The sequence below is a fragment of the Homo sapiens genome, chromosome 9 (genome assembly GCF_000001405.40).
Source record: "Homo sapiens chromosome 9, GRCh38.p14 Primary Assembly".
NCBI classification, from domain to species: Eukaryota; Metazoa; Chordata; class Mammalia; order Primates; family Hominidae; genus Homo; species Homo sapiens.
Genome location: NC_000009.12, coordinates 126,358,508 through 126,378,575, shown reverse-complemented (window position 1 = coordinate 126,378,575; position 20,068 = coordinate 126,358,508). Strand labels below are relative to the sequence as shown.

The 20,068-nt window shown below is 42.7% G+C and overlaps 1 protein-coding gene across 7 annotated transcripts in view, besides 2 other annotated features; it reads right to left on the bottom strand.

Annotated features, from left to right (window-relative positions):
- The window catches only part of MVB12B (multivesicular body subunit 12B), a 180,212-nt gene that overhangs the window by 128,465 nt on the left and 31,679 nt on the right, over nt 1-20,068 (bottom strand). The window lies entirely within an intron of this gene.
- Nucleotides 1,384-1,988: an enhancer, noted in NCBI's record as "H3K27ac-H3K4me1 hESC enhancer chr9:129138867-129139471 (GRCh37/hg19 assembly coordinates)". NCBI's record gives its function as "activates a minimal SCP1, AML or CMV promoter by ChIP-STARR-seq in naive H9 embryonic stem cells {active_cell/tissue: H9 hESC(naive)}" and the evidence as "EXISTENCE:reporter gene assay evidence [ECO:0000049][PMID:30033119]".
- Nucleotides 1,989-2,594: an enhancer, noted in NCBI's record as "H3K27ac-H3K4me1 hESC enhancer chr9:129138261-129138866 (GRCh37/hg19 assembly coordinates)". NCBI's record gives its function as "activates a minimal SCP1, AML or CMV promoter by ChIP-STARR-seq in naive H9 embryonic stem cells {active_cell/tissue: H9 hESC(naive)}" and the evidence as "EXISTENCE:reporter gene assay evidence [ECO:0000049][PMID:30033119]".

Sequence of the window (20,068 nt, the reverse complement as noted above, 5' to 3'; positions counted from 1 at the left end):
GGCAGTACTGGGCAGAGAAGGGCTCTGGAATGGTCCTGGAGGGCTGGATGGTTCAGGGACCCACAGGACCAGGTACTGGGTGAGGAGTGAGATGTGGGTTCCTGGCTCTTTGAGAGCACTGGAAAGGCAGCCCTGGTGGAACAAGGGGGGCATTTCTGGCCTGTCTTTCCTACAGCAACAAGATGTACCCAGAGGTGTCTTCCCAACCCAGTCACATAAAGGTGCCTAATAACCTAAATTCTTCCCATCCCAAGTCAGGAGAGCTAATGATCTGCAAGATAAATGATCTATCTATGCGGCTGAAGTCACAGTGTCAAGAGGAGCCTCCACCACTGACTCAAGGCAGGGTCTACCTGACAGTGCCCACGCCCACCTGGCGGCACTGCAGAAACTTACAAACTCAGCAGTCAGCCTCAGGTCCCAGCATCAGGAAGCTGGGGTAAGGTGGGGTGTGGGGTGGAGGACCAAATGCTTTGCGTGCAGCATGCGCAACATGGAGTTCAGAGGCAGACTTGAATTTGAGGCCCAATAGCTTAAACCAGTCCTGTCCTCCTCTGCAAAGTGGACATGCTGCCTTTCCCTGCGGGCATCACTGCCGGGGCACAGGAGCCCACGAACATGCAAAGTGCCTGCCTTAGTGCATGAGCACTCCAAAGACAGCGCGAATGTTTCTAAACCAAAAAAGGGGACATCTGCTCTGACAGCGAACCAAGTCTGGAAAGTGATGTCAGGCTACATCAGGATTCAAAAAGTCCTCAGTTGTCCCGGGGCTCTGTGCCAATCTCTGGGAACAAAGCTGGTCTTTCCAAACACAAATGATATACTTGTACGAGGAACATCTGCCCTCCCGCTGCTATCCCACCCTGGACTATAAGCTTCACAAGGACAACGGCAGTGCCTGTTCTGCTTGCCATTTTACCCCCTGTGCCAAGCACAATGCCTGACACGGATGGGCTCCATCAAACCTTGTTGAAAGAATAAATGAACGAGTCAACTCTGCAATCAGGGCAGTGTGAAAAGCCACATACCCTGTCAGCTACCCAAATAAGGTAACGGGAAGTTTTTCAAATGAAATTTCCAGGATTTAATCCATTGAGCTGAGTGAATCCCCTTCAAAATCACCACTCTGAGACACATATCCATTTCAGCACTGAGGCCACCTACTCTTTTGGTTCTCTTGTGTGTTTGCTGCCTTGTTCCCAAGACAACTCGATATGTCTGCTGACTGCAGAACCTTCAGAGTCTGTTACAGGGCCTCGCATACACATGTGCACATGTGCACACATGCACATGCTCTTGCACACTCACACTCACACATTCTCACAACCTCTCTCCTAGCATTTCTTCCCCAGGAGTAGGAGCTGTCTCTGAGGAGGAGCAGGAGGGCCCTAGGGCCAGGCAGTGGCGGAATGTACACATGGTTTATCTCTCTTCCTGCCAGGATTCTTCTAAAACAACAATCAAATGGACAGTGCAGAAGCCTCCACAATGACGAGCAAGAGGGGAGAGGCAGCACAAAGGCCTGGCACTGCAGAAGGCGGAGGGCAAGGGATTTAGCAAGTGTGGGGGAGGGGGCGGGTTGTGACCTAAGGGGCCCGTGGCAGCCGATACTGAGCAGAGCCCCAGGATCCAGAATCACCAGACACCATTGGGGTGGGGGCGGGGGAGCAAGTGCAAGTTTAGGGCTGAATTGGGTAGACTGAAACAAGGTTCATAAACAAAGTGGTTAGACTCCCAGGTGCCCACCCCAGTTTCAGGTGTATCTTCTGCAGAAAGGAACCCAGCACAGCTCAGGACTCTACAAGCCCGGCAGGTGGGGAAGGAGGCTGGAGGTCAGGAGGAGGTGGGGGAGGAGGTGCAACTTCAGAGTGGAAACGAGGGTAATTGAGTAACCAAGCGTACACACTGAATGGCAATGGCAGGCCCCTCCCTGCCACCCGCGCTTACCCTCCTTCTTGCTTCCAGCCGCCTCCCCTGAACACTGGACACTGAGGGCTTTGTCTCTGGAAAGCGCCAGGGTGGACCAGCCCACGATCTGAGCCAGCTCCCTGCTCGTCGCCCCACTGTGTAGCACACCAGCCAGCAGGCCCCCCACCCACAGGGCTCCAGCCCATGAGCTGGTGCCTCCATCTTAAATCCCAACCCACAACAAAGGGTCACCAGGCACTGGGGACAGGCTCAGACATGACAGAAGGGCCCAAAATAGAAAAAAGGGAGCTTGAAGGTAGCAAAGAGAATAGGGGGAAACAGTGCCGGCTCAGGACAGAGAACCCAGTCTGTAATTAAATCCTCAGAGGGATGAGTGAATAGACTGCAAATACCAAACAAGAACAGAGTATTATGAAAACGTTTTTAAAAAGGAACAATTTGAGGACAATATAAAGAGATTAGAAACTGTAAACACTGGAAGAGAAAGCTGAGGAAATCTTCCAGAAGGTAAAGTACAGAGATGAAGAGATCAATTATAGGAATGAAAACTGAAGGGTCAAGACAACATCCAGCTAACAAAAAGTTTCAGAAAGAACTTTTAAAATAAAAACCGGAGGGGAGGGGGAGCCTCTGTGTTAAAGAGGTCCTGAGTGTTTCCACAAAAGTGGATGAAAAAGACCCACCCCAAAACGAAAGAACCGAGAATCCCACCACACTGGGGATAAAGAAACCACCTTAAACACTTGCAGAGAAAAATAACGGGTCACATACAAAGGGACGGGAATCATGTTGCATCAGACTTCCTAACTGCAACATTAGAAACTAAAAGACAAGATAACAATGTCTTCAAAATTCTGAGGAACTCTGGAATTCCACATCTAAGCCCATTATCGATTAAGTGTGAGGGTAGAATAAAGACCTTTGCCGATGTGCAAGGACTTAAAAAGTTTATCTCCCAGGGGCCCTTTCTGAGGAAGCTACTGGAGGATGCATCAGCAGAACCGAGGATTAAATCAATAAAGGGGAAACCATAAACTCCAGGAAACAGAACCCACACAGCACAGCAGCCAGAGGACAGCAGCACGCCCAGGCCCAGACAGGGAAAGGAAGAGACGTCAGGGCAGCAACCTCTGGGGAGGAGGGGATGTGGAGGGGAGAGCATTTAGAACTGTACTTTCTCGTTCGAAAGAAATAGGGATGGGCATGTGACAACTGCCTTAGAGCATTTAGAACAATGAAAACAATGCACCTAAGGCTATTTGACAAAAAAAAAAAAAAAAAAAGAATCAATTTAAAAATTAAAAAGACATTTTAAGAACGTACTGTGAAAATCAATAGGCACCCGGACAACTCCTCAAATGAATGAAACAAGTCTGATTAATTCCAAGAAAAAAATAAAAGGTTGTATGAGAAAGAACACACACTCCTAATATGTTACTTGATTCAGTGGTATTCAATGTCTGCATTGTAATCTATGTAAACACTAAGCATTAATCCACCAAAAATTGTGATACTGCCTAATGGGAGGAGATTATAAGAGAAGAAAATAATCAAGAAATAAGCAATATAATAAAATTACTTAGAAATATGGAGATAAAGTACTAGAGGGAAAAAAATCTTAAAAAGTGGAAAATAAATGCCTCTAGGAAATAAAAAGGTGAAGGTGGGGAGACAGGGCAGGGGCTGCTATATTTTCTTATGAGCACTCTGATTTTTTAAACTGTGCACGCAGGCATCACTTTGTTAAAGTAAAAGCAAATTTTAACTTTGAAAGAGAGCTGGGGAAATATCTCATGGAAGATAGTATGATAATTCGTTATTTCTTTTAGGCAAGCTGCCGCTATTGCTGCCATCAGGGACATGACTAGCAATGCAACATAATCTCACTCCTAGTTAGCTTGTTAGTGTGTTCCCAAGTGGGTGACAATGTCCAAAGCTGCAAGTCCAGCTGATTCCAGCCTTCCCCACAGCTACAGTCCACCAAAACTGAACATGCAGATGGCTGGGGACGGAGCTGCAGCACCCAGGCAGTCCCTGGGATGGTGGCTGCCAGTGCCACAGAATCGACACAAGGCTCTACAAACCTTTCGGGACCTGGCCCCCACCCCTGTCTCACATAGCCCAGGTCTCTGATTGCTTTCTCTAGCTTGAGTTCAGAGGTCACATTCTGGGCCACTGTGCAGCAGTCACAGAGGATGATGTGCGTTCAGGAAGCCCTGAACAGCCCACTGGACAGTGGGACTGACTACCTGAGGCTGGCCTGTAAGGCATGTTCACTGTAAAGAGACCGCTGAGGTTAAATGTAAGCAGCCTCCCTGGTTCAAGGGACTCCCTTAATCCCTGAAAGATCTGGGGGCCGGAGGCCTGGGAGACAGTTACTGTGAAGACCCTAGGGTAGAAATAAAGTTGTCATATTAAAGGGACAGAAAGTGGGGCTCTGTAACTGGAGCCTGGTAAGATGGGATGAGCGTTATTGACATGTTTATTGGGGCTCAGTTTATAAAGGTAAGAGTGGGAGATGATAAATTTCTAATGATTAGAGGACATCCTCACAATAGAAGACTCAACAGCCATTTGAAACAACTTTGTACACATACACACACTAACACGGAAAGTTCAGGAGAAAGAGTAAGTTACAACATGGTTTATAAAGTACAATACTTTAGTTTGTTTTCAAAACAATTATCTGTATAGAAAAGGATCTAGGCAAATATAAAGCAAAGCATTAACCACTGTTTGGCTCTGCACAGTTGAGATTATGAGTATTTTTAATGTTCTTTTTTTTCCCCTGTATTTCTGCTTTTTTGGTAATGAGCATATATAGCTTTTATAAGAAAAATAATGGTAAATACTTCATTTGATGGGGTGAAAAATAAAAATCCGCTGGATTTAAACTTGAGAAGCACTTTGTAAATCAGCTATCCAACTAAGCCACCTAAAGAGGAGCGGCGCAGTCAATCATTTCAACCGTCAGAGGTTCTTCAACGTTGGAATTGAGTGCTCCTTGCCAAAGAGAAACTCTCAAAAGACAAGCTAACCACCAATTTCATCAATCTGTTTACACACCGGTGTTTCAAGAGAGCCCACCCACAATTCAAAGGTGTATTCAGCAGACAGAAAGCAATGAAAGGGGCCAGGAAATCCTGCAGACATTCCAAAGGAAATATCTGGCTGACACGATGAACAAGAATGAAGTTCATAGGCCTCTGGGTATGTTAGATCATCAGCAGTGGAAACACACACACTTGGCCCAGGCCAGACAGCGGGCAACTGTGAGCCACTTAAACTCAATAAGAGCAGCGTGGGCACAGCAGAGGCAAGGAGCCTATCCAACCATCCGTGGACTCCCTAACAGGTGGTGTGCTCAAGATGCTTTCTACAAATATAAAGTGAAAGGAAGAGGCATTTGACTAATCCAGTGAAGAGGTCAGGAACTCTCAGTTTTTCGGTTCTGATTTTATTTGCATCATTTTCTTATACCTTTAGCTGAAATGTCTCTTTTTTTTAGCAAAAGAAATGAAAAACATAAACCTGTTCCCTGAGACAAATGCATCTGCCTCAGTCTTCAGGTGGTCCTTTCCACTCACGGGGCACAGGGACACAGTGGACCACCCAGCCCTGTTGGCCTTGCACCCCTCTGGGCCTCTATGTCTAACCCTAGTACTGTACCCGCTTTCCACTCTAGTTCTCCTTCTCAGACAGGTCTTTCCTAACTGTGCCCCGCCATTTCCTGCCTCCCTGCCTTTGCTCGTGTTGCTCCCTCTCGCATCTGTCTTGTTGAAATGATCTCATTATTTAGGGCCTGGCTGAAAGAATCCCCTACTCTACAGCCTCTGTGATGATCCCAGCAGGCAAGAACTTGGATTTCTGAAGTTGGGTAGATTCGAGTTCAAGTCCCAGCTCTGCCATTTACATACTAGGGTTTTCCAAAGTCACTCTTTTACTCTCTGAGCCTCACCTAAAAATGACAATAGAAATAATACCTACCTCATAGGATTATTTGTAAGGATTAAATGAGAGAAAGCACAAAAGGCACTTAACCACAATGAGATACCACTTCAGAACCACTATGGTAGTTAAAAGGACAGGACAATTAAAAGGACAGGCAATCCAAATGTTGGCAAGGATGTGGACGAATGCGAGCCCTCTGCACTTCTGGTGGGATTGTAACAGGGTGCAGCCACTTTGGAAAACAGTCTGGAAGTTCCTCAAAATGTTAGACATAGAGTTAGCATATGACCCAGCAATTCTACTCCTAGGTATATACCCAAGAGAAATGAAAACAAGCGTCTACATACAAACTTGCATGTGAATGTTCATGACAGCATGTTTTCTTAATTACCAAATGAGGAACTAATCCAAACATTCATCAACTGATAAAAATGTGGCATAGCCATACAATGAAATAGTATTCGGTCATAAAAGGAATGGTATACTGATACATAATGCAACTTAGAAGAACCCTGAAAACAGTTTGCTAAATAAAATAAGATAGACACAAAAGACCACATATTACATTATTTTGTTTACATGAAAAGTCTAGAAATGGGAAATCCCTAGAGACAGAAAGTGGATTGGTGCTGCCAGGGACTGGGGGGCAGGAAGAGTTGATGGAGAGAATGGCTAATGAGTGGAGCGTTCTTTAGCAGGTGATGACAATGTTCAAAATTAGGTGGCAGTGATAGTTGTGCAAATCTGTGGCTATACTAAAAACCAATGGATTGTACACTCTTAAAAAGTGAACTTTGTGGTATATGAATTATATCTCAATAAAGCTGTTAGTATTTCTAGAAGTACTTAGCATAAGGCCTGGCACATGGTGACACTAAAAAAATGTTACCTACTTACTATTATCTCTGGTCCTTAAAGTAAAGATCTTATCTTATTCACGGAATATTTTTCTGAGTACCTAGCCCCATGCCTTGTTTACAGTACACAATCAGATATTTGCCAAACAGCTGATTGAACCATTGAACCATGAAAAGAATGCATGGTAGGAAAAACACACAAAGACTAAAGCCTGGTGCATCTAGGACTACACAAGATAGCCCTTTCCTCATTCTACCTGTGGCACAGGTGCCTTAGCCATGCCAGGCACAGAGGGGATGGCTTCCTGAGGTTGGGCAGGGAGGCAGAAAGCAGGTCCCTATTCCCAGCAAAAGCCCTTGTAGAGGTGAAGGGATTAGGAGCCCTGGCTCTGCACCTCCTGATGGCCGAAGGGAGCCAGGCAGGGAAGACAGTTCCGTGGGGGGCCCACGAGACAGGAAATGGGAGATACACATAGGCAGGGCACCTGGCCGCATCGCAGCAGGTACGTCCTCCCTGTTCCAAGTCATCAGGAAGGAGGCTCTGGGCCAGAAGTGCTCCCGTTTCTGTCGCACCCAGACGGCCAAGCTATGACACGGCCCTGGACCTCCACAAGCCTGCAGAGAGCAGCATCAGCAGCCTAGAGGTTGCCTTGCGGCTGGTCGGCACCCAGGGGAAGGCCGGCTCCTCTCAGCCACAGGATACCTGGTCTACCACGGCACTGCCAGTGACGCATCAGTGGCTGAAGTAGGGACTAGTCAATCAATAGTACCCAGACACCTGATCGTCACTACAGAGGAAAAACTAAGTTGAGCCCTACCTCAATTTGTCAAAAACAAATTCTTGATGGATTAAAGATGAAATGTGAAAAGCAAAACTTCCAAACTTTTAGAAAAAAATGTGGAGTATATTTATGTTTAAATAGAGAGAATTATTAAAGAAATAGATGGACATGTACAAAACCATCTATAAAAGAATAGGCTGATGAATCTTACTACCCTAAAATTGAAAACTTGGATACTTTGTAGTATCCCTAGGGATCCCAAAGGGATCCTTTGTAAGACACAAGACACAAAGTAAAAAGATAAGCCTTAGACTGGGAGCAGTGCACAGTGACAATAGATTAACATCCAAAATAAGGAAATAAAAAACCCCTCCAGGCCAGGCGCGGTGACTCACACCTGCAATCCCAGTACTTTGGGAGGTCGAGGTGGGTGGATCACTTCAGGTCAGGAGTTCAAGACCAGCCTGGCCAACACGGTGAAACCCAGTCTCTACTAAAAATGCAAAAATTAGCTGGGCATGGTGGTGGGCGCCTGCAATCCCAGCTACTCGGGAGGCTGAGGCAGGAGAATCACTTGAACCCAGAGGCAGAGGCTGCAATGAGCTGAGATGGCGCCACTGCACTCCAGCCTAGGCAACAGAACGAGACTCTGTCTGGGGAAAAAAAAAAAAAAAAAAGAGCCCCTCCCAAGCAATAAGAAAAAGACATCACCCACAAGCAAAATGGCAGTGCTAGACCATTCACAGCAAATCACTGACCAAACTGCAAATGTCCAACAAAATGAGTGGAGTACAAACCTGAACCTGCACGCCACTTCAGAGGGCACATGTCCATATCCAGAAAGGCGAAAATGACCGGCAATTCTATTCCTAACTTGTTCCCTAGAGAAATCCTTAGCATAAAGACAAAAGGATATTATTTACAACATTGTTTATAGTATTGCATTATTGAAAATGACCCAAATCCTCACCAACAGAAGAATGAATAACTAAGTTATAGTATATTCATGGAATATAATTCTATACCCCTTGAAAATACATGAACTAGAGCTGTATCAGCAAGGAAAAATATCTCAAGAACAATGCTAAGAAAAAAAAACATGCTGGCTGGGCATGGTGGCTCACACCTGTAATCCCAGCACTTTGGGAGGCCCAGGTGGGTGGATCACCTGAGGTCAGGAGTTCGAGACCAGCCTGACCAACATGAAGAAACCCCGTCTCTACTAAAAATACAAAATTAGCTGGGTGTGGTGGCACATGCCTATAATCCCAGCTACTCGGGAGGCTGAGGCAGAAGAATCATTTGAACCTGGAAGGCGGAGGTTGCAGTGAGCTGAGATTGCGCTATTGCACTCTAGCCTGGGCAACAAGAGTGAAAATCTGCCAAAAAACAAAAAAACAAACAAAAAAAAACCCACGTGAAAAATACATATAAGTGTGACGTATATCCCATGTAGGATATCACCTATATAAAGTGTGAAAACATGGAAAGATACCTAGGAATGAAAAACACCAAACTCAGAGCAGTAGAGACTCTGGAAAGGAGGGAGGCATGGGCCTGGGGGTTGCATGGGCATCAATAATGTTTTCTTTCTTTTATTAAAAAAGAAATCTGACAGAAATTTGGTGAAACATCAAGACCTGGAAGAGCTGCATGGTGGATACATAGACATTTGCTACATTGTTCCCTATACTTTTCTATATATTTGGAATATTTTGTAACATAACTTTTTAATTTTAAAAATCAGACAATAGACCTGAAGAAGAAACTTTTTATTTCAAATCTCACAAATGTGCATAAGGAATGGAGTTGCTACAGACAATACAGGACACCCAGTGAAATTTAAATTTCTGACAAACAACAAATACCTTTCTTAATTAAAAATTTTTTCAAAATGTTCATCCTGTATTTTTATTTGCTAAATCCAACAACGTTAACAAGGAAGCATGCACTAAAAGCTTTGTTCAGTGAAAAACTGAAGGTAAAAGAACTACAGGCTGAGCAGCAGAAGGCTCCTGTGGCCCTCACTCAACCACGGAGCATCACACACCCGTTAACAAGAGTGTGGAGGGTCTACACACGCGAGTCTAGAAAGATCTACATGACATATGTACATCTTCATAAAAATAAAGCATGAGCTGATGGCATGATCTAATTTATATTAAAAACACAAATTACAACGATGTATTTCTGTAAGTCATTTACATATAAATGCAGAGAAAAAAGTCAGGAAGAAAAATGAGCAAACTGGTGTGGTTGAAAGGTACTTAAGCCTTGGCTGTTATTATTTAATTTTTTTAGATAAAAGATATTCTTCTATTCCTTATTTAATTAAAAATAAATACTTTTTTGGTAAAAAGAAAAACATAAGTCTAGAAAGATACTTGCAAACTGTCAACGAGATGTATTGGCATTAGAGGAAAAAAGAAAGGTAATATTTTCACTCTTTGGTTGATAGAATTCTACATGATTTAGATTTTCTGAGATGAGCTTTGATAATTTTTTAAATGTCATGTGATTTTTTTTAAAAAATTTTAAAGACAAGGTTCTCCAACCCTCTCTCTACCACGGTATCCAAGGAGTTCAAGGTGATTTCATTATGGAGGGTGCATCTGCTGAGCAGAGAAGGAAGAAAAAGCAAAGCAGGGCAGGCTCCAAAGCCCCTTCCTGGCTGGAATCTGGGATAACAATGTTTGCTCCACATCACCCAATACCAGCCTCGCAGGCCAGCAGCATACAGAGTTTAAAACATGGGCCTTGATACTAGACAGATGTGATTCAAATCCTGGATTCACAAACCAGTAGTGGCTGTGTGGCCTTGGCTGTGTTACTTAACCTCTCTGAGCCTCGGCTTTTGTCTCTATAAATGGAAACAGTAGGTCCTAGCTCATACAGTTGTAGTTACAGCACCAAAGAAAGTGCTTTGGTCAGTACAAAGTAATCACTTAATCAATGCCAAGTATCGGCGTTGCATCGGAAACCACTGCTTCCCTTCCGCACCTAGATATGCAGGCGGGCCTGGCATCAAATAGAGCCCTCCCCAGCATGTGCCATCATCACTAAGCTGCAATTCATCTCTTCAGGACACAAGTCTTTCCTTTTCTTTCAGCAAACATTCTCTAGCCATTTATGATATGTCAGGCACTCCCTCCCCTCCCTCCGAGGATGGCTCCCAGGTGAGCTGAATCAGGAGTGAGGGCGCAGGGAAGAGAGCCACACAGAGGCAGGAGACCTGGGTTTGACCTCCACTCAGCCACACCCTTGAGCTCTCAGAGGCTTTGCTTTCTTACTTGTAAAACAAGACTGCAATAGTAACTTGGCAGGGTTATTGTGTGAAATAAATACTGTGTGTGGAAGCAACTAGTGCAGGGGCAGACACAGTATGGATATTTGGTGTCATCAGAAGTGTAAGACAGAATCACCTCCGTGCTGTAAGGGAGCGCCAAGTGCTGAGAGCTCTCAAAAGCAAGCATAAGGCAGAAGGAGAAGAGGCAGGCTGCTGGGAGGATAAACAGAACCAAAGGCATCTTCAGGTGGGATGCATCATAAAGTGCTGGCAGGCAGAAACGAAGTAGGGGCAGAGGGGCAGGCGCACCCCTAGAAGAAAGGACAGAAAAGGCCAGGGTGTGGGTCCTCCCCGGCACATGTGGGAAGCGTGGGGTTGGCTGGACCACTGGCCACGCGGATGAGAGAGAGAGAGCAGACCATACGACCACAGAGATCTGGTGGGAGGAGCTGGAACCTGGGAGGCTGCAGGGCAGGTGCTGTCTTAGGACCTGCCCCATCCTAGGGAGCAAGAGGGGGAGCGTGGCTGGAGAGCCCCGGGCAGGAAGGAGAAATTCTCAGAGTGGCGCTTATAGGAGAAACCTGGAGTCGAGATGGGAGGCACCAGAGACTGCTTAGAAGAAACTACCCGCGTCAAGACTTGTGAGGACCTTATCCAGCTGGTAGCAGAGACAGAAGAGGAGGATGAAAAGATGAAGAAATGCCTGATGGGGTGCTGGCAGGTAGGGCTAGCAGAGAAGCCTTGGAAGGATTCTGGCCTCTGTCTCGTGGGAACATTCAGAAGAAGGGTGGTTGTAGGTTGGGTCTTCTATTGGGAGTGGTAAGGAAACAGAAGAGGAGTTCGGTTTGGGAATATTCAGGTTGAGGTGTCAGCCGGTCACGATTTGTGGGCTTGTCCAGCAGCCTGGTGGAAATGGAGGCCCCGTGCTACGGAGAGCACAGGCTGGCTGCGTGGAGTCAGAAGCTCGGCGCCTGGCAGGGCCAGACGCCAAGTGAGAGAAGAATGCTCAGTGCAGGAGGCTGGGTGGGAACTGGGCAGGGTGCACAGTGAGGGAGAGGCTACTACAAGAAGGGGGGTCAGAGAGGAACAAAGCTGAATGCAGCTGAAATCAAATGGAAGGAATGCAGCATTTTAGGAAAGAAGGACTATAGAAGAATATCCGATGATCTAAGAAAATACTGCAAAAATACAATAAGAAAATATGATGCAATAATAAGCACGTTATAAAATTTATATAAATAGAATCCCATTACTGCTAAAACACACACACATACAAACTAAACACAGTTAAAGTGTGGACAATAGTTTTCCTGAGTTGTAGGATTACAGGTCGCTTTTATTTTCTTCCTTGTGCTTTTTAACATCTTCTACATAGTCCATAATGAACATGTACTAGTTCTGCATTCAGAAAATGAATATATTAAGGCAGGAGGAAATTGGTCAACAGTAACCAAAGTAGAGATGAGGTTGAGAAGAATACGGATTAGGAAAGAGCCACTGAGTTAGACAATTTAGGAATTGAGGGGTGAGTGGGGATAATGAAGAGGAGATGGCAAGCAGGGACGATTTTGGGGAGTAGGGCATACAAAGATGGTGGCTGGAGGAGCTGGTGAGATGAAGGGAGGGTGGCGGAGGCCGCATCTGCTAAGAACAGAGGGGACAGAGGCATGTCTTTGTGGAAAGGAAGACACAGAGGAGGGGAAGAGATTGACAGCACAATGAGGGAGGGAATTCCAAGCAAAAGCCAGGCAGGAAGATGTGGAAATGAGAACTCACCTACTGGGATTAATCTTGGGAAGGAAGAGGGCCACTGGAGGGTGCTCCAATCTCTGCTACCCCTGTTTTCATTTTAATCCTTCAGTCTGGGTCTGTAAATTCCATGCAGGCAAGTGCTACATCTGACCATTCACCACTCAGTTTGCAGTACCCAGTACAGGCCCGTGGTGGGGGCTTAATAAATAACTGCTAATAAATAAAAACTTCCCTCTTCCTCTGCTCCATCTCTAAAGTTTGATGAAATCTCCCTTTGGACCCAGGAAAGTGGATTTATAAAATGAGCATGCCAGCTGATTTAGAGAAACAATAGAAAGGTATATTAATAAGCAACTGCATGGTCTGAAAGATTCTGGAGGCCGGGTGCAGTGTTTCATGCCTGTAATCCTAGCACTTTGGGAGGCCAAGGCAGGCGGATCATCTGAGGTCAGGAGTTTGAGACCAGCCTGGCCAACATGGTGAAACCCTGTCTCTACAAAAATACAAAAAATACAAAAATTATCTGGGCACGATGGTGGATGCCCGTAATCCCAGCTACTCGGGAGGCTGAGACAGGAGAATCACTTGAACCTGGGAGACGAAGGTTGCAGTGAGCTAAGATTGCACCATTGCACTCCAGCCTGGGCAACAGAGCGAGACTCTGTCTCTTAAAAAAAAAAAAAAAAGACACTTTGGGAGGCCGAGGTGGATAGATCATGAGGTCAGGAGATCGAGACCATTCTGGCTAACACGGTGAAACCCCGTCTCTATTAAAAATACAAAAAAAAAAAAAAAAAATTAGCTGGGTGTGGTGGCAGGCACCTGTAGTCCCAGCTACTCAGGAGGCTGAGGCAGGAGAATCACTTGAACCTGGGAGGCGGAGGTTGCAGTGAGCCAAGATTGCACCACTGCACTCCAGCCTGGGTGACAGAGCAAGACTCCCTCTCAAAAAAAATCCCAAAAAACAGGCCAGGCGCGGTGGCTCACGCCTGTAATCCCAGCACTTTGGGAGGCCGAGGCAGGTGGATCATGAGGTCAGGAGATAGAGACCATCCTGGCTAACGCGGTGAAACCCCGTCTCTACTAAAAAATACAAAAAATTAGCCAGGCCTGGTGGCGGGCACCTGTATTCCCAGCTACTTGGGAGGCTGAGGCAGGAGAATGGCGTGAACCCGGGAGGCGGAGCTTGCAGTGAGTGGAGATTGCGCCACTGCACTCCAGCCTGGGCAACAGAGCAAGACTCCATCTCAAAACAAAACAAACAAACAAACAAAAGAACAAGAAGGGAGGAGTTTTTCTATCAAGCCAAATCAATTAACCTCAAGGTGGGTCCAAACCTAAGACACAATTCCTGAATGCAATTCGAGAAGGCTATGAAAGCAATGGGTCTAAGGTAAAGTGGCAACATCTTTGATAAAAGACACCATGTTTGCCTTAGCTAGGGCACTAGCAGGATGTGATTAGTAGTGAAAACTAGTGATCCAGCCAGCATTTCAGCAGCCCCGTGCACACTCCTACCCATGGTGCTGGCCCCACCTCTGCCCTGGAGTGGGGAGTGCAGCCTCCTCTGGCTCCAACCAACTCAGACTGCAAGGCCTGGCTCTGGGCTTCTTGCTGGTTTTAACAAAGGGGCCCTGAAAGAGACCCATCAAGACAAGGAGGGCAGGAAGAGTTGAAGTGATGGGATTTAAGAGAAGACAAGTTGAACTCGCGCCGTTCATGAGTCATGCCCGATGACAGGAGGCAAGAAAGGAAAGGAGATAAACTGGTCCTCGTGCCTAAGTCACTCTTCTTATGTACTCTATTACTCAGCTCTCAAAGCACATTGCCAGCTGTAATTGCATTTCAATTCATGTTTAACACAAACATAACTTAGCTGGATGTTGGCATCCAATATCCCAGACACAAGAAGGCCAAACAGAAAGGAGCCAGCTAATTCAATTCAATAAACATCCTGTGTGTGCTGGTGGAGAATGTGTGCACCAGGCCCTGTGCTGGGTACTGGGGGTACAGCTATGCGAAAGGCATAGCTCTGTGGCCTCCTCCTCATGGGGCTCAGTACACAGAGAAGTAATTAAAGAGTGGTAACTGTAATTAAACTGTAATTAAAGAGTGGTAAGCACTGCAATGGAGGAAAAGGGTGCCATTGAAACACACAGAACCAGAACATAATTCCACAGGGAGAGGAATGGTGGGCATGCACAAAAGCACAGAGGCAAGGATGGGCACAGCACCTCTGAGGAACTGTGAGTGGGGGCAGAATGAGAACATGAAAATTAGGGAAGGAGCAAATCTAAACAACTCTCAGATGCCAGTGAAGTCCATTCATTACATAAACACTTACTGAGTGCTAGGTGCTCAGCGCTTGGTGGTAAGTAAAACAACGAATTTGCCTGTAAGTCTAAAAACAGAGAGCCAGAGGACAATTCTAAGCAGGTGAGTAACCTCATCTTTTGGAAAGTTTCCACTGGCAACAGTTCAGGGAAGACTGGAGAAGGTTAGAATGGAGTTAGGGAAATGCATTAGAAGACAATCCAATAGGCCTTAAGAAAGGAGCGTGGAGAACGGAGTCAACGTGTATTTGCTTAGTCCACAGGTCGATCACTTCTTACATTCTTCTCCAATCACCTGCCACTCCCTACACACACGGTAGTTTGTAATCACATAATTTCCCATCATATACATACCTCATAAATTTGTCATCCTAAACCATAATCTAAAGGGTCATGGAACAGCCAGGAAGCAAGGGAGGGAATTAGAAACAAGAATTCAATGAGGTTGTTGAATGTAAGAGAAATCTATTTTTAAAACTTTAATTTTCTTTTTTTTTTTGAGACGGAGTCTCACTCTGTCACCCAGGCTAGAGTGCAATGGTGTAATCTCGGCTCACTGCAACCTCCACCTCCCAGGTTAAAGCAACTCTCCTGCCTCAGCCTCCTGAGTAGCTGGGATTACAGGCGCCCGCCACTACACCCAGCTAATGTTTGTATTTTTAGTAGAGACGGGGTTTCACCATGTTGACCAGGCTGGTCTCGAACTCCTGACCTCAGGTGATACCCCCGCCTCGGCTTCCCAAAGTGCTGGGATTACAAGTGTGAGCCACCACGCCTGGCCAAAAATTAATTTTCCTTTATGCAAAACATGTAAACCACACCAATAACCATTTTAAAAAATAAAATGAGGTGGGGGAAACAGTACCATTTACATTAGCAAGGTCAATTGTAAAACTGACCTTGGTAAATTAGCTCTGTAAAACAAATGAAGAAGCGTCCAATCTTTTTTCAAAGCTTTAGGATAGTTTGTACGATGTAAAAATTAACTGTTCCTTGGTAATTTGAGAGAATGTTACTTTAAAGCAATTTGGGCCTAGTGCTTTTGTTGTAAATAATTCTCTAACAACATTTCCAATTTCTTCCTTGGATACAGGCTTTTTAGGATTTGTTCTTAGATAGCAGTAGAAATTATCTAACTCATCAGGATTTTCAATTTCAGTCACACATGGCAGTACATAAGAGCTACACATCATCTTCTTTTATAATTTTGAAATTTCCTATATTCTTACTTTCCTTTTCCCAAATAAATTTTCCTTATCTTTATATTATTTTATTTTACTATTAGATTTGCCAGAAGTTTATCTATTATGCTTTTTACAAAGACTCAATTCTTAATTAACATCTCTCCCTCCTTTTCTCTTACTTTTAATTTCTGATTATATCTTTGTTATTTCCTTCCATGTGTTTTTCTAGCTATTTAAGCTGTGGGACAATATCTAGTGGTTCAATATACATGTCACTGGAGTCCCAGAAAGGGAGAACTGAACAAGAAATACTTTAATAATAAACAGAAATATTACAAATTTGATGAAAACTGTAAACCCACAAATTCAAGAAGATCAATGAGCCTTGAGCAGAATAAACATTAAGAAAACTACACCAAGGTATATCATAATCAAAATGCTTAAAACCAGTGATAAAGAGAAAATCTTAAAGACAGCCTGAAACCCTCTATGTACAGAGAAACAAATGTAAGAATGACAGCAGACTTCTTATAAGAAACAATGCAAGCCATAAGATAATGGAGCAACATCTTTTTTTTTTTTTTTTTTTTTCCAGAGTTTCACTCTGTTGCTCAGGCTGGAGTGCAGTAACGCAATCACAGCTCACTGCAGCCTTGACTTCCCGGGCTCGGGTGATTCTCCCACCTGAACCTCCTGAGCTGCTGGGATTACAGGTGTGCACCATCACACCCAGCTAATTTTTTGTATTTGTAGCAACATCTTTAAAGTACTGAAAGAAAATGCCAACTTAGATTTCTATACCCAAGGAAAACATCCTTCAAATACAAAGACAAAATAAAGACTTTGTTCAGACAAACAAAAGCTGAGAGAATATATCACCAACAAACCAACACTATGAGAAATGTTCAAAAAAGTTCCTCAGGCTGAAGGAAAATTATATCAGATGCAGATCTACACAAATGCAGATCTACACAAAACAATGAAGAGCACTAGAAATAGTACCATAGGGATAACTATAAAAGACTATGTTATTATTTTTAAGTCTTTTATAAGATAATAAAACTTTAAAGCAAAAATGATAACAATGTATTGTGGAGTTTATGACATACGTAGAAAAAAAATGTATGCCAACAATAGCACAAGGGCTAGAAGAGGAACAATAAACATCCTGTTCTTACACTACACATGAAGTTGTGTATTACTTAAAAGTAGACTGTGATAAGCTAAAGATACATGGTATAGACTCAAAAGCAACTACTGAGAAACAACAACAACAAAAAGAAATAGAACTGGTAAGCCAACAGAGGAAATAAAATGAGATAAAAATAATTAATAAAAAATGTTGGAAAAATAGGAAAAGGGGAAAAAACAACAGATGGGAAAAAATTAATTAAACAAAAAGCAAGATTGGTACATTTAAACCCAACCACATCAATAATCATGTTAAATGTAAATGGCTAAACACCACAATTAAATGGAAGAAATTGTCAGACTAGATAATACGGTGTCTACAAGAAACCCACTTCAAATATAAAGACACAGATAGGTTCAAAGCAAAAGGATGGAAAAGAATATTTCATGCCAACACAAATCAAAAGAAAGCTGTAGTGGCTATACTAATATATGACAAAGTAGATTTCAGAGAAAGGAATATTAACAGGGATAAAGAGGGTCACTTAATAATGATGAAGGGGTCAATTAATCACGAGGACATATCATTCCTTAATGTTTATGCAACTAATGGCTGAACACCAAAATACAGGAAACAAAAACTTATAGCACTGAGAAAAAATAGACTCATCCACAATTATAGTCAGAGATTTTAATACCCTTCTCTTAATAATTGATAGAACAAATTGACAGAAAATCAGGAATAATATAGAAAACTTGAACAATACTATCAACCAACTTGACCTAATTGACATCTGTAGGACACTCAACTGCAACAGAAGAAGAATATACATTCTTTTCAAGTGTATGTGGAACATTCACTAGGACGGATCACACTCTAGGCTGAAGTCAATGAATCACAGCTTGCAGGCCAAATCCAGCCTGTAGCCTGTTTGTGTACAGATTATAAATTACAGATAGTTTTATATTTTTTCAAGAGTTGAAAACATAATAATATACAATGGAGATCATATAGCTCACAAAGCTTAAAATATACATTATCTGGCCCTCTACAGAAAAGTTTGCTGACTCATATTGTAAGCCATAAAACTATGTTCTCTGACCACACGGAATATATTCTTAGTAACAGAAACATATCTAGAAGTCCCCAAATACATGGAAACAAAAAACCACACATCTAAATAATTTATGGGTCAAAAAAGATGTCAGAAGAGAAATTAGATAGCATTGTGAATGGAATTAAAATTATATACAACACAACAAAATTTGAGGGATGCAGCTAATTCAGAGTTTGGAGGGAAATTCATAGCATTAAATGCTTATGTTAGAAAAGAAGAAAGGTCTCAAATCAATGACCAAAACTTCCACCTTAAACAATAGAACATTTAACCCAAAGTAAGCAGAAGAAAAAATTTTAAAAAGTGAACACAATAAAGTTAAAAACAAGAATAGAAAAAGTCAATAAAACCAAAAGCTGGTTCTTTGAGAAGATTGATTAAATTGATAAAACTAAGACTATAACCAAAAATAAAATGGAAAGAACTAAAAAAAGAACTACTATTTGATCCAGGATGGCAGCCTGAGCAAGAAAAAAAGAGAGATGACACCAATTACCATTATTGGGAATAAAAGAGAGTACATTCTCCAGATCTTAGAAGCATTAAAAGGATAACAAGGAAATATTTTGAACAGCTTTATGCCCAGGAATTAGAAAAATTAAATTAAATGAAAAATTCCTTAGCAGACACAAACTACCAAGGCTCATTTAAGAATAGATAACCTGAATGACACTACATCTATTTAAAAAATTGAACTGTTGTTTAAAAACCTTCCCACATCCAGGCCCAGAGAGCCTCACTGGTAAAATCTGCAAATATTTACAGAATAAATAATACCAAATAAACATTAAATATTTCAGAAAACAGGCAAGAAAGGAACACTTCTCAACTCAGTATATGAGACCAGTATTACCCTAATACTAAAACCAGATATTATAAGAAAACCACAGACCAATCCATATTCCTTATGAACATACACATAAAATTTCTTAACAAAATTTTAGAAAATTGAATCTAACAATATATTAAAAGGACAATTTATTATGTCCATGGGGGATTTATTCCAGAAATGGAAGTTTGGTTTAACACTCAAAAATCAATCAGTGTATTTCATTATATTAAATGATTAAAAGAGAAAACCCAGGCTGGGCATGGTGGCTCACATCTGTAATCCTAGCACTCTGGGAAGCTGAGACTGGATACCAGCCTGGGCAACAGAGTGAGACCCTGTCTCCATAAAAAAAAAAAAAATTAAAATTAAAAAGAGAAAATCCATATGATAATTTCAATAAAAGCAGATAAAGCATGTGATGAAATTCAATATCCATGTATGATTTAAAAACCCTCTGGAAGGGTACTTTCTGTTAAATAGTATCTATTTCAAAATCCACAGCAAATGCCATATTTAAATGGTGAAACACCGAATGCTTTCCCCCTAAGATTTGGGAAAAGGCAAGAATGCTTGATTTCACTACTTCTACTCAATAGTGTACTGGATGCTCTAGCCAGTTCAGGGAGGCAACAAAAAGAAATAAGAGGCATACAGACTGGAAAGGAAGAAGTAAAATTGTTTTTATTCACACACAACATAATTATCTACATAGGAAGTTGTAAGAAATATTCAAAAACGTTATAAGAACTAATAAGTGAGTTTAACAAGATTGCAGAATACCAAGTCAATCTACAAAAATCAATTGTATTTCTATCAACAAGAATGGAGTTAAAGTAAAAATAAATACCATTTACAATAGCATCAACAATATGAAATGCCTGAAAGATTAGACAAAAGATCTGCAGACTTTACA